Source organism: Homo sapiens, chromosome 15 (assembly GCF_000001405.40).
Source record: "Homo sapiens chromosome 15, GRCh38.p14 Primary Assembly".
In the NCBI taxonomy this organism is placed as follows: Eukaryota; Metazoa; Chordata; class Mammalia; order Primates; family Hominidae; genus Homo; species Homo sapiens.
The window spans coordinates 64,107,424-64,120,707 of record NC_000015.10 but is presented as its reverse complement, the minus strand read 5'-3'; the positions used below and the strand labels follow the sequence as shown (position 1 = coordinate 64,120,707).

The 13,284-nt window shown below is 41.0% G+C and overlaps 1 protein-coding gene across 3 annotated transcripts in view, besides 1 other annotated feature; it reads right to left on the bottom strand.

Annotated features, from left to right (window-relative positions):
• The window catches only part of SNX1 (sorting nexin 1), a 48,250-nt gene that overhangs the window by 23,524 nt on the left and 11,442 nt on the right, over positions 1 to 13,284 (bottom strand). For 2 of the 3 annotated variants that reach the window (NM_003099.5, NM_001242933.2), the window contains exons 2-4: positions 8,024 to 8,135; positions 2,464 to 2,591; positions 1,854 to 1,920 (exon numbers count right to left, since the gene is read on the bottom strand). In NM_003099.5, coding sequence (NP_003090.2) covers positions 1,854 to 1,920; positions 2,464 to 2,591; positions 8,024 to 8,135 — 307 coding nt within the window. The remainder of the gene's footprint in view (positions 1 to 1,853; positions 1,921 to 2,463; positions 2,592 to 8,023; positions 8,136 to 13,284) is intronic. The other variant, NM_148955.4, reaches the window with a different exon arrangement.
• Positions 9,356 to 9,405: an enhancer, noted in NCBI's record as "active region_9557". NCBI's record gives its function as "activates an Ori minimal core promoter by ATAC-STARR-seq in GM12878 lymphoblastoid cells {active_cell/tissue: GM12878}" and the evidence as "EXISTENCE:reporter gene assay evidence [ECO:0000049][PMID:35858748]".

The window sequence follows — 13,284 nt, the reverse complement described above, 5'->3', positions numbered from 1 at the left end:
CGCCATGCCTCTGTAATTTTTTATTTTTTTGTAGAGACAGGGCTAATTTTTTACTTTTTGTAGAGTCATGGTCTTGCCATGTTGGGCAGGCTGGTCCTGAACTCCTGGGTTCAAGTGATCCTCCTGCCTTGGCCTTCCAAACTGCTGGGATTACACATGTAAGCCACTGCACCTGGCCTAAAATCAATAGTTTAATGACCACCATTTTGGCCAGAGACCAGGTTAGGCAACATGGTGAAACCCTGTCTCTACAAAAAATATAAAAAAATTAGCCAGGCATGGTGATGCACATCTGTAGTCCCAGCTACTCAGGAGGCTGAGGTGGAAGGATCACCTGAGCCTGGGGAAGTCGAGGCTGCAGTGAGCTGTGATCATACCACTGCACTCCAGCCTGGGTGACAGAGTGAGACCCCGTCTCAAAAAAAAAAAAAAAAAAAAAAAGACAACCATTTTGGCATAAAGTCTAACAAGTTCCTGTCCCTAGTACCAAACAGACCAAGAGTTGAGAATTACATTTGTCCTCTTAACTGTATAAACACCACTCCTGTTTAGGAAGACAGGTTCTGTATAGCCTCTTCCATAAGGGACTATAGCTAGAACAAGGAAAGATGAGGCCTATTGTTCTCCACTCAGGGATAACTCTTGCAAGCTTGGTAGAGGGGAAAGCCATCCTAAAAATCCAAGTCCAGACAAAGTTAAGTGTTATGCTTTTTGAAGATCTAACTTCAATTTTGAGTACAATTCAACTTGGATCCCACAGATAGACTTCCCCACCTCATAAGGTTATCAAAAGTATGTGTATAAATGAGAGTTTCAAACTTCTTGAGGGAAAAAATAAGTTCAGTGTCCCTCAATTTTAGAACATGTATTTTTTAGGGTGCTTACATTGGATTTACTATCTCAAAAGACAGTAAAATGGTCTTATCAACTCTGAAGGAGAAGATAATGTTTTTTGTGTGTGTGTGTGTGTTTTTTTTTTTTTTTAAGACACAGTCTTGCTCTGTCACCCAGGATGGAGGGCAGTGGCATGATCTCAGCTCACTGCAGCCTCCACCTCCCGGGTTCAAGCGATTCTCTGGCCTCAGCCTCCTGAGTAGGTGCGATTATAGGCGCACACCACCATGCCTGGTCAATTTTTGCATTTTTAGTATAGATGGGGTTTCACCATGTTGGCCTGGCTGAACTCCTGACCTCAAGTGATCTGCCTGCCTTGGCCTCCCAAAGTGCTGGGATTACAGGTGTGAGCCACCATGGCTGGCCTGTTGGGGTTTTTAAAAAGAGACTCTAGCTGGGTGCGGTGGCTCATGCCTGTAATCTCGGTGCTTTAAGAGGCTAAGGCAGGAGGATCACTTGAGGCCAGGAGTTTGAGACCAGCCTGGGCAACATAGCAAGACCCCATCTCTTAAAAAAAGAATTAGTCGGCATGGTAGCACGTGCCTGCAGTCCCAGCTACTTGGGCGGCTGGGGTGGCTCAGGCGGGAGGACTGCTTGAGTCCAGGAGCTGGAGATGATAGTGAGCTATGATAGTGCTACTGTGCTCCATTCTGGGTGACAAAATGAGGCCTTGTCTCTAAAAAACAAAAAACCAAAAGAATAAAAATAAAAAGGGATTCTAGTAGTATTTGATGACTCTGATTTTTCTTCCTGAAGCCAAGAAAAGACTGACTAACGCATTGAGTAACAGCAGTCTCTGGCCTTAGAAACATAGCAAGGGGTCTACTTTTACAGAAAAGATACTAATGAAGTACTTCACATTGGCTAGTTCAACTCTGGGGGTAGCCATCCTGAAATTAGCTACCTATGCTTTCCACAGCCACATCCTAACATCACAAGGAGTCCTAAGAACCACTTACCTATCTTCTCAGGATCAGTTATACCGACTGTCAAATCAAATTGATCCTCCTGTTCTTCTTCCTCTAGCTTTTTCAAGAAAAGACAAATCATGAGAGTTGATATGAAAAAAAAAGCTATCAATTTTACCCTGTAATAACCTTATACCAATCTAATAAAATCAAGATGTATCCTTCAGTGTTCAGCTTTTGTCCATTCCCAACAATCCCAATGTACCAACTCTCAAAATTTTAAATTAGGAGCCAGCTTACAAGTCTTTGTTACATGTATCCCCTTAAAATCTTATTTTGATGACAATGAATAACTGCCAGATTTAGAAAGACTTGCCTCTTGCAGGCTAGGAAGGGAGTGAGGAGAAACTATACTCCTGAATGTGGAAGCTTCGCACACTAAGTATCTTTAGTAACCACTGAAAGCCTTCGTGCTCTCTGGGCAATAGATACTCTGCTCAAGAAAGACTCCTGTATTGGATTCTGGCTGTCCATTAACCATAAAGATCTCCTTCAAGAGTAACAAATATTTTCTCAAGGTTCATACTCAACTACACTTCAGACTGGCCGTACACAGTCCTCAATATCTAAAAGCGATAAGACCAAGAGCACAGATCCTCACCTCCTCATAGGTTGGCTGGGGCTTCGAAGAATTTGTGGCTTCCTGAGGAGGAAGAGAAATGAGTGTTTTGGCTAGCACCTTCTTCTGATTATTTTGTGTGCTGTCCAAGGATAGCTCCACTGTGGCATCTAAAATGAAGTTGATATTTTAAAATGAAGGTCAGTAATGAGTCTTTGAAGGCTAAACTTGTATAGGCTAAGAACTTACAAGAACAATAGCAAGCACTCTCAATACATAGAGGCTCTTAGACTGAAAGTCATAAAATGTTTACAAGGAGAAAAGGGGAGGAAGGTAAGGGAAGTGTTCTTCTAGCACAGGCTTAGTAGAACAACCTCTCCTTCTTTCCAAATACAACCACTTGGCTACCCTCTCCTACCTAGAATTTATACAAGAACCAAGGATAAGCAAAAAGACAACACAGCCAAAATAAGTTTATCAATTTTATTTATTTTTTAGACAGAGTGTCACTCTGTCACCCAGGTTGGAGTGCAGTGGCACGATCTGGGCTCACTGCAACCTCCACCTCGCAGGTTCAAGTGATTCTCCTGCCTCAGCCTCCTGAATAGGTGGTACTACAGGTGCATACCACCACAGCCAGCTAATTTAGTCTGTCAATTTTAATCTTCGGAGTATTCCTTTAGAACATTATATGAGCCCTATTTATTCTTGTTATAATTGTTTGTAAAAGGCTGGGCGTGGCGGCTCATGCCTGTAATCCTAGCACTTTGGGAGGCCAAGGTGGGAGGACTGCCTGAGCTCAGGAGTTTAAAACCACCCTGGGCAACATGGTGAAACCCCGTCTCTACTAAAAATACAAAAAAACAGTAGCCAGGTGTGGTGGCCTGAGCCTGTAGTCCTAGCTACTGGGAGGTTGAGGCAGGAGAATTGTTTGAACTGGGGAGGCAGAGGTTGCAGTGAGCCGAGATCGCGCCACTGCACTTCAGCCTGGGCAACAGAGGGAGACTCTGTCTCCAAAAAAGAAAAAAAATTGCTTGTAAAAGAAGTTCAGATATTTGCTTTACACACCAATATGATAGAAGAGGCAGGCATACTGACAGGAAAAAAATGACGTCAAAGCAAGTGTCAGGAAAGCTATAAGCTAGAAAAAAATGGAGCCAAGACACAAGCACAGTAACATTTGGGAAAGGGCACTTTTCCACACCTGATGACAGCACTGTTATTTTGTCATGGTTTAAGAATTTTTCCTAATGGTTTAGATCTCCTTGTAAAGGTTAAATTATACTTACTATATGCTATCCAATTTGTGAAAAAAGACATGTAATATCTGAAAATCTTCCTACTCAAAACAGTTTAAAAAACAGTGCTTAAGGGCTGCCTTTGTCTATCTGGGGAGTACTCAGTTGAACAGAACGACTCATTCCCTCAGTGTTCCAGAGAAGGGACTTTAAAAATAGCATTATGTACCATTTCTAGGCATTAAAATTTTTTATGCAAATAAAAAGAATGCACTTTCAACTTGGAGCAGTGGAACTAGATGCTCTAAGCCTAAACAGTCCAAACTTTTTTTCTTTTTTAGTAACAGAAAACATAAATGTCAATTTGGGTTTGGTCTGATCAGTAAGTATTCTATCTTAATCTTAGGAAATACAAAGAATGCTGCTGCTTCTTTTTCATTTGGGGCTAAACGAAACCAGAGATGATGGTTTATGCATATATGCCTATAGCATAATCAAGTCCCAGATCAGTATTCTAATCACTAAATGTGAATCAAGTCTGCAAACAGGGGTGCCACACTGTTAGAAATGAAATCTGATCCCTATCAGGAAAGTGAGAAAGGTGGTAACATAATCTGACTCTGGGGTGGGAGTATAAAACAAACAAGCAAAAAAGTACAGTTGACCCTTGAACAACACAGGTTTCAACTGCACGGGTCCATTTATACATGAATTTTCCTCTGCATCTGCCACCCTGAGGCAGCAAGACCAACCCCTCCTCTGCCTTAGCCTACTTACTCAATGTGAGGATGCAAGAATGAAAACCTTTATGATGAACCACTTCCATTTAATGAAAGGTAAATACATTTCCCTTCCTATGATTTTCTTAATAACTTTCTTTTCTCTAGCTTACTTTATTGTAAGAATACAGTATATAATACATGTAACATACAAAAGACATGTTAATTGATTATCTTATTGGTAAGGCTTCCAGTCAACAGTAGGCTATTAGTAGGCTATTAGAAAAGTTTTGGGGAAGTTATAAACAAATTTTTGACTGCGCCTGCATTGTTCGAGGACTAACTATACATATAATGAACATGTTAGCATATTAGAAGTCTCTGAAACAAGCAACCAGTTGAAGTATGCGTAGGATATTCACATCATGCAGGTCCCACACAAATAATTCAGTTAACAAACATGTTTGGAAATGAAACAGGAAGTATCACTCATCTAAAATATTTGGCCCTTTAGAAAGCTACTAAAAACCTTTTGCCAGCTTGGGCAACATGACAAAAGCCTGTCTCTACAAAAAATAAAACCAAACAAACATGCGAATATTAACAGGCATGGTGGTGCCCACCTGTGGTCCTAGCTACTCAGAAGGTTGAGGTGGGAAGATCACTTGAGCCTGGGAGGTCGGGGCTGCAGTGAGCCATGACCACACCACTGCACTCCAGCCTGGGCAACAGAGTGAGACCCTGTCTCAAAAAAAAAAAAAAAAAAGCCTTTTGAAGAGCTGTGCATCTTCTACTGAAATTCATGTGACAAAGATGCCAAAACTTATATTAAAACATGCTTTTCTCTTTGAACTCCTGTTAAGAGTACTGGAAAAGCATTCAGGCTCCATGAGAGACTCTGATCATCACTAGATTTATTATTTAAAAATGATATCAGAACGTTTAAGTTTCCACAGTCAAATACCTAAAACAACTGAGAAGCTACTGAAGTCCTAAACTAAGTGTCTCATTGTAGACTTTCCATTCTAGAGATACCTTATGTTCCTTTCTTAGAAGTGAGGCAGGTATTGGCTACTTAAAAAACTAGTAGGGGAATGAAGTAAATTAGAATCCTCACTATGAACAAATATGACCCTAATAAAGATCTGCATGTTCATGTGTATAAAACCCAATCACTGGGTAACTATTACACTAAACTGTCAGGTCAGGTCTCCTTATAATGAAAGATCATATAAATGTTAAGGTCCCAAAGATAGAAAATTCACTTTCTTTTCAATCTGCCATATAACCAAAGACAATTCATTATTTGCCTTCATATCACTTCTCCTCCAGAAATTTATTTTTATTTTTTAATAGAGACGAGGTTTTGCTACGTTGCCCAGGCTGGTCTTAAATCCTGGGCTCAAGGAATCTTCCCACCTTGGCCTCCCAAAGTGCTGGAATTACAGGCCTGAGCCACCGTGCCTGGCCTCCTCCAGAAATTTTATCCAAAAAATAATCAGTATCAGAATAAATATTGTATATTTAAATTTCAGGGATGAAGGGAAGTGGAAAATCTCAATTTTTCTATTCTTTCTTCTAATCTCTTCTTTCCTTGTATGTCTTTTAAATTTCCTACCAAGGTTCTAACGTAAGAGTCGTCCCAAGATCTTACCCTCCACCCTTGTCTTTCTCCCTCCTCACCATTCACTCTTTTGAGGATCTCGTTCACATGGAAGTTTCAACTACCACCTCTAGAAAGATGATTCCCATATGTCCAGCTCTTGTCTTCCCTCAGGTAGGAAAGAAAAGTTCAAGTCACCTCCTGGGTATTTCCCTTTGCATTTCAAATGTAAAGTATCTAAAACCAAAGCTTACTTTTTTCCCAAAGCCAGTTTCTTCTTTAGAATGGGGTTCTATAATGATACCATTTTCTTCTCAACCCTTGGACTTGAAACCTTTTGACTTTGTCTTCAATCCCCACTTTTTTTTGATATCCATTATATTCAATCACTAAAATCAGATTTTGTTGATTTCCCTTTTGAAAAGTTTTCACCTTTCCTTTCCTGCTTTTATTACCTTATGTTCAGTCTTTGCTATTTCATTCTTGAACTAGTTTGTGATTACCTTCGAAAAATTATCTGGTCTCTGCCCACTGCAACTAATTTAATATAATTCCAATTCCACTAGGTCAGTCTTCCTAAAACATTACTTTGCCCATACCACATTCTTTACACAAAGCTGCCAATGGCTTTTAATTGGCATTAAGATGAAAATCCAGACTCGAATTATTAATGTCTAAGGTCCTCCCAAATCTGTTTCCAAATTACATTTCCAGCCTTATCTTCCATGACTTCTCCAAGAATGTCCTGCTGTGGTCCACCAACTTTACTGACTGCCACTCAAACATACCTTATACTTCCTGCCCAACCATGGGGCCCCTTTTTCCTTTTCTCCTGCATAAATCCTGCTTCTTCCAAGATCACTTTCTTTCTCTCTCTCTCTCTCTCTTTCTTTCTTTCTTTATTTTGAGATGGAGTCTTGCTCTGTCACCCAGGCTGCAGTGTAGTAGCACAATCTCAGCTCACTGCAACTTCCACCTCCAGGGTTTAAGCAATTCTCCTGCCTCAGCCTCCTGAGTAGCTGGGAGCACAGGTGTGCGCCATGGAATCCAGCTAATTTTTTATATTTTTAGTAGAGATGGGGTTTCACTACGTTGGCCAGGCTGGTCTCAAACTCCTGACCTCAAGTGATCCACCCACCTTGGCCACTCAAAGTGCTGGGATTACGGGTGTGAGCCACTGTGCCTGGCCCAAGATCACTTTAGACAGGGTTTTTTCAACAATAGCACTACTGACATTTTAGGCTAAACAATTCCTTGTTGTGAGGGCCTGTCCTGTGTACAGAGTGTTTAGCAGCATCCATGGCCTCTACCCACTAGATAACAGTAGTACTACCACCAGCTGTGACAACCAAAAATGTCTCCAACCATTTCCAAATGTCTTCTGGGGGGCAAAAGCACCCCCTCTGTTGAGAACAGTGCAGCACCCCTCAACAAAGAATTATCCAGCCCAAAATGTTAATAGTGCTAAGGTTGAGAAACTGTCCTATACTAGTGTTTTTCAAACTGGAGGTTACAGCTTGTTGGTGGATTGTGAAATCAATTCAATGTGTTGCAAAGAGCACTGAAAAAGGAAACAATAGAAAGTTTCAGGCTGTATTAGAAGTAGTAAGGGCAAGTCATTTAATAAAACTTTTGTTTCTGTTTTGTACCAGTATGCACATTTTTGGATTATGACACCAAATGCAATTCTTACTCCTAGTCTTGGTCACACAAGGCTACACGCACTGCTTTAGTCACTGGTCTCACACTCCTCTGAGCTCCTGTGACTTAGTATTTCTATCATTCCTCCAACTGCATTTCTGTTATTGTTTAACAGTTTAACTCACCTTCTTAAACAATTGTGTATTTATATCTTACTCCCTAAATCTGAAAGAATCTTGATGGCAGGGCCTGTATTTCATGTACTTTGGAATCCTCCACAAAAGTACTTTACATAAAGTTATGTTCCCAATACTTTTTTTTTTTTTGGTTTTGACTTTAACTCAGCAACTTAACAAAGCCATTTAGGAGGTTCCTAGAGTAACTTTTGAGTCCAAACTTGCCTGCAAAGAGATCCTGTGGCTCTTGGTCTTGTTCTTCATGGATCCCATTTTCTTTGGAGCCATTGTTGATGGGAAGAAGGGATGTAGTTATCTTTGGAGACTGATGTTTACTCTGAAAACAAAGAGATACTCTGAATAAAACATTACCATGAAAAACAAACCCAACTTGCCTAGAAAGCAACTTTTAATGCCTCCCTCAGTTGCCACCAGTCAGCCAGTTCAATAAGCAGCAAATCGTTATTAGTAAAATAAGTGCTGCCCAAGTCATGACAGAGCAAAAATAAGTCCATACATTTTAGGGTTAATTTCTAACAGCATAACCTCGCTCAAATGCCCTACCCCAAAGCACATGATACCAACATGGGTATGTGTACACACAGATAATTTTCAAAAGAACATGTCCAAATGTATTTCTCTTTCTCAGCTGATGACCTTTATTCTTTCAAATGCTGACTGTGCACATTCTAGTGACCAGGATACTACACTGGAGTCCAGAACTCAAGCTCTGACCCATGCTTACTCTGTAGCCTCAGCTAAACTGTTAACTGAAGCCCAGCTGTGTGGATATTACTGACCCATCTGACACGCAAAGGAAGGTATAACACTACGTTCTAATGCTGTTAAAAGTAAAATTTATCTTTTCATCCTTAACTCACACAAATACAATTTTCAATAACACACTGTGTCAAGCTAGGAGAATAAAAACTAATCATGCTTAGCCTAGTGAGCACATGGTGAAAATACAGTCAGTCCATAGCCTTTATTCAAAGCTCAGTGATCAGCGGCAAACAAGGGTGGGGTGGGTCCCCAGACCGGTACCAGAGTGAACAAAGCTGGATTGTGCAGAACCTGAGCTGAAAGTTGAGAATGTGGCTTCGAAAGCCATGGTATGGCACTGCAGTGTTGTGAAGTCAGACCCTAAGGGCAGATCAGTTAAAAGACCTGGCTTAAGGAACCTTTTATGACACACTTCCTTAACAAATCTGAGGGAATTTGTTCCTTGGAGACAGACCTTTTCTGACCCAACAAAGTGAAATGACAATCTATTTGGGTACTCTAAATTTGCAAATAGCTTCATCTAAATATTGGGGACAGATTTCAGAAAAGAAACTGTTAGCAGGTCTGAAGGTAGTGAGTTATCTCAATTGACTGTTCACAGTCAGTTACAGATCGAAACCCTTGTTTGATATTTCCCCACTTCTCACTACTGCACTTGACTAGTCTTAAAAAATTTTTTTGAAGAAAAAAGAACAAGAAAAGAAACATACCAATATTTAGACTTATATGAGCAAACAATCCTTCTACTGGAACTATTCCCTGCTAATGAAGTTTCATGAACACTTAGTTGTATAAGCTTAAATGTTATTCCAAGTCTATTAGAGATAGTGGTCCTGTCCTCTAGCTGCTTTAACAATCTTAAAAACAAAACTAAAAAATCACTGCAGAAAGACAGAAACAGGATAAATACAAAAGCAGCATTTCCCTTTTGCTTCACACATCACCAATAACCAACCACCTTCTTCCACACTACTTCCTTCCTACACTCTTGTACAGTACATAGATCTCATGTGAAGCCACCTGATTTCATTCACTTCCTACTGACACCAGTCATCTCCAAATGGAGACGTATGAGAGATTAAAATCCAGTATACATTAAGGATACATGTATACAAATGTAATTTACTAGTAGCTCACGGGGGAGATTAAAACAACAGAAAAGGCATAGGTTAGAATTTAGCCATTTAAAAAATGCCTAGAAGGACCCATTCCTGTGATATAAAGATGAATAAAGCCAGCTTTCCATTTCTGATCCACCACTTAACTTGGAAGGTTAATGACTAAGAATATTTTCCGGAGCAGTGTTAGAATAGTAGTCTATCTTTCCCTCAAGAGACAGACACACACAAATGGGATACTGCAGTGAAAACTAGAGTACTCATACCTCTCTTCCTCCACCTAACTTTTTTCAAAAGCCCAAACTGTGGCCACGTGTGGTGGCTCACACCTATAATCCCACCACTTTGGGAGGCCAAGGTGGGAGGACTGCTTAAGCCCAGGAGTTGGAGACCAGCCTCAGCAACACAGTGAGGCCCTGTCTCTAAAAAAAAAATTTTTTTTAAAGTAGCCTGGCGTGATGGTGTGCACCTGTAGCCCCAGCTACTCTGGAGGCTGAGGTGGGAGGATCACTTGAGCCCAGGAGGTCGAGGTTGCAGTGAGCCATGATCACACCACTACACTCCAGCCTGGGTGACAGAGCAAAACCCTGCCTCAAAAACAAAACAAACCCAAACTGTGATTAAAACAGACTTATGTTCCCTTAGTAAGCTAGATAACAACTACTTGTGAGAACAGAAAACTGCTCTCAGATATCCTCTGGGACTCCATCCCAAAAATCACACATGGCTGAGTTCTAAGAGAGCTGAAGATAGACATGACCATACTTACTATCCTAATCTTTTTTCTGTAGTTCTCTTACAATATTAATCTTCTACCTATGTAAAACTCTGTATCCTGTTTTTTCCCCTCTACTGCCTGAGCATTTTCTCATGTCATTAAAAAGCGTACAAAAATCCCACTTTTAGTTACTGAACTCTCCATTATGGATATATGACATAATCATTCCCCTAATGCTGGACAGTTTCCAGGTTCCACCAAATACTACTGTGAGACCCATCCTATATATAAATCCACATCTGATTATTTTCTTGGGATAGATTCTTAAGTAGAATTGTGGTATCAAAGGCTCTGCTAAGCTCCCTTCCAGGAAGACCAACAATTTACATTCCCCCAGAAGTGTGTAAGAGTGCGGCATCCACAGCAACACTAAGCATTCTTTTAAAAAATCTTTGCGCTGGGTGCAGTTGCTCACATCTGTAATCCCAGCACTTTGGGAGACAGAGGTGGGCAGACAACCTTTGGGAGGCAGAGGTGCCTACATAACCTGAGGTCAGGAGTTTGAGACCAGCCTGGCCAACATGGTGAAACCCTGTCTCTACTAAAAATACAAAAATTAGCCGGGTGTGTTGGTGGGTACCTGTAATCCCAGCTACTTGGGAGGTTGAGGCAGGGAGAACTGCTTGAACCCAGGAGGCAGAGGTTGCAGTGAGCTATCGAGCCACTGCACTCCAGCCTGGACAACAGAACGAGACTCTGTCTCAAAAAAACAAAACAAAACAAAACAAAACAAAACAAAAATCTTCACTAGGTTGAGTAGTGAAAATTTCTTTCCATTCATTTGCTGGTCATTTGAATCTGTGACTTGTCTTTATGTTCTTCACCTATTTTTCTATGCTAAGTTGGCATTACTTAGGTGTGCATTTTTCTTTTTCTTTTTTTTTCTTTAATTGTGCAGTGGCGTGGTCTTGGCTCACTGCAACCTCTGTTACCCGGGTTCAAGCAATCTCGTGCCTCAGCCTCCCAAGTAGCTGGGACTACAGGCGCGTGCCACCACACCCAACTAACTTTTTTGCATTTTTAGTAGAGACGGGGTTTCACCATGTCGGCCAGGCTGGCCTGAAACTCCTAACCTCAAGCGATCTGCCCACCATGGCCTCCCAAAGTGCTGGGATTACAGACATGAGCCACTGCGCCTACCCTAGGTCTGCATTTTTCTTACACAGAAGTATGTTAACCCTTTCTCTCGCATATTGTACAGTACCCCTCCCCAACTTTCTCTCTTTTGGTTTTTTTTTTTTTTGAGATGGAATCTCACTCTGTCACCTAGCCTGGAATGCAATGGCGCGATCTCGGCTCACTGCAACCTCTACCTCTGAGGTTCAAGCAATTCTCCTTCCTCAGCCTCCTGAGTAGCTGGGATTATGGGCGCCCACCACCACGCCTGGCTCATTTTTGTATTATTAGTGGAGACGGCGTTTCATCATGTTGGCCAGGCTGGTCTCGAACTCCTGACCTAAGGTGATCTGTCCACCTCAGCCTCCCAAAGTGCTGGGATTACAGGTGTGAGCCACTGTGCCCAACTCTTTTGATATTTTATTTTTGTCCTTATCAAATTTATTTCCAGCACTGGAAAAATTAAGTTTTTTAAGGCTGAAGAGTACCTTGTACACAGTTGGCCTTTGAGGCATAATAACATTATCAAGTTTTATTTAAAATCAGATTTTTAAAAAAACTGAGCAGAACCACTTTTAAAGAAGAAATGGACTCACGTTCATGGTATCGTATATTCACATGGTGCAGTTAAAAGAAAACAAGTCTTCCACGAGATTTGAGTCCATAATAATAGCACGTTATCAAAATACAAAGCCACCTGGACATTATAACACACTTCATATGCTATGTCTAAGATTAAGGCTGATTTTTATTAGTATTATTAAAGTATAGAAAGCTAATTTTAAATCAACAGTTAAAATTTTATAAAGAATTTACTGTGGGGGAAGTACCCACAGTACTTTATAAAGAACGTACTGATTACATTCAATGGCAAAACCAATACTAAAAATAAGCATTGCTTTATAACCTTTTTTTTTTTTTTGAGACAGAGTCTCACTCTGTCGCCCAGGCTGGAGTGCAGTGGCGCAATCTTGGCTCACTGTAAGCTCCGCCTCCCAGGTTCATGCCGTTCTCCTGCCTCAGCCTCCCAAGTAGCTGGGACTACAGGCGCCCACCACTACGCCGGGCTAATTTTTTGTATTTTTAGTAGAGACAGGGTTTCACTGTGTTAGCCAGGATGGTCTTGATCTCCTGACCTCCTGATCTACCCACCTCGGCTTCCCAAAGTGCTGGGATTACAGGCGTGAGCCACTGCGCCCGGCCAATAACCCATATTTTTAAAAAACTCCTTAGCAGTCAGTAAGTCACATAACTATTCACCTGTGTGAAAGGGGCTAAATTTCTAGGCAAGAAACTATTCTCTGTGATGAAAATACTGTTTGTGACACAGTAAATAATGCCAAAGAATCGCCCTTGCTTTTTTTTTTTTCCTTTTCGCAGCTAAAATCCTAGCTGGGATATCCAACACTTGCTTACTCCCTTTGGCTGTTAATTCTAGCCAGTGGTTCTACTGATCAGCCTGTTTAAGAGTTCAACTGTTTCTGTTTATAATTAAAAGAGCATACAGACAGACCAATACTAATTTGCAGAGAGGTACTAGAAAGGTGTGCCAGAAAGAGAGAGCACTTTTGTTAAGAGCAGGTATTTCTCCACAATTACCAGCCTCAAGCCATTCCAGGCCACTAGCACAATTTTCTTAGCTCAGAGAAGGACAGAAACAGGCTTGCTGCCCCTCAGAGCTGACGAAGCCA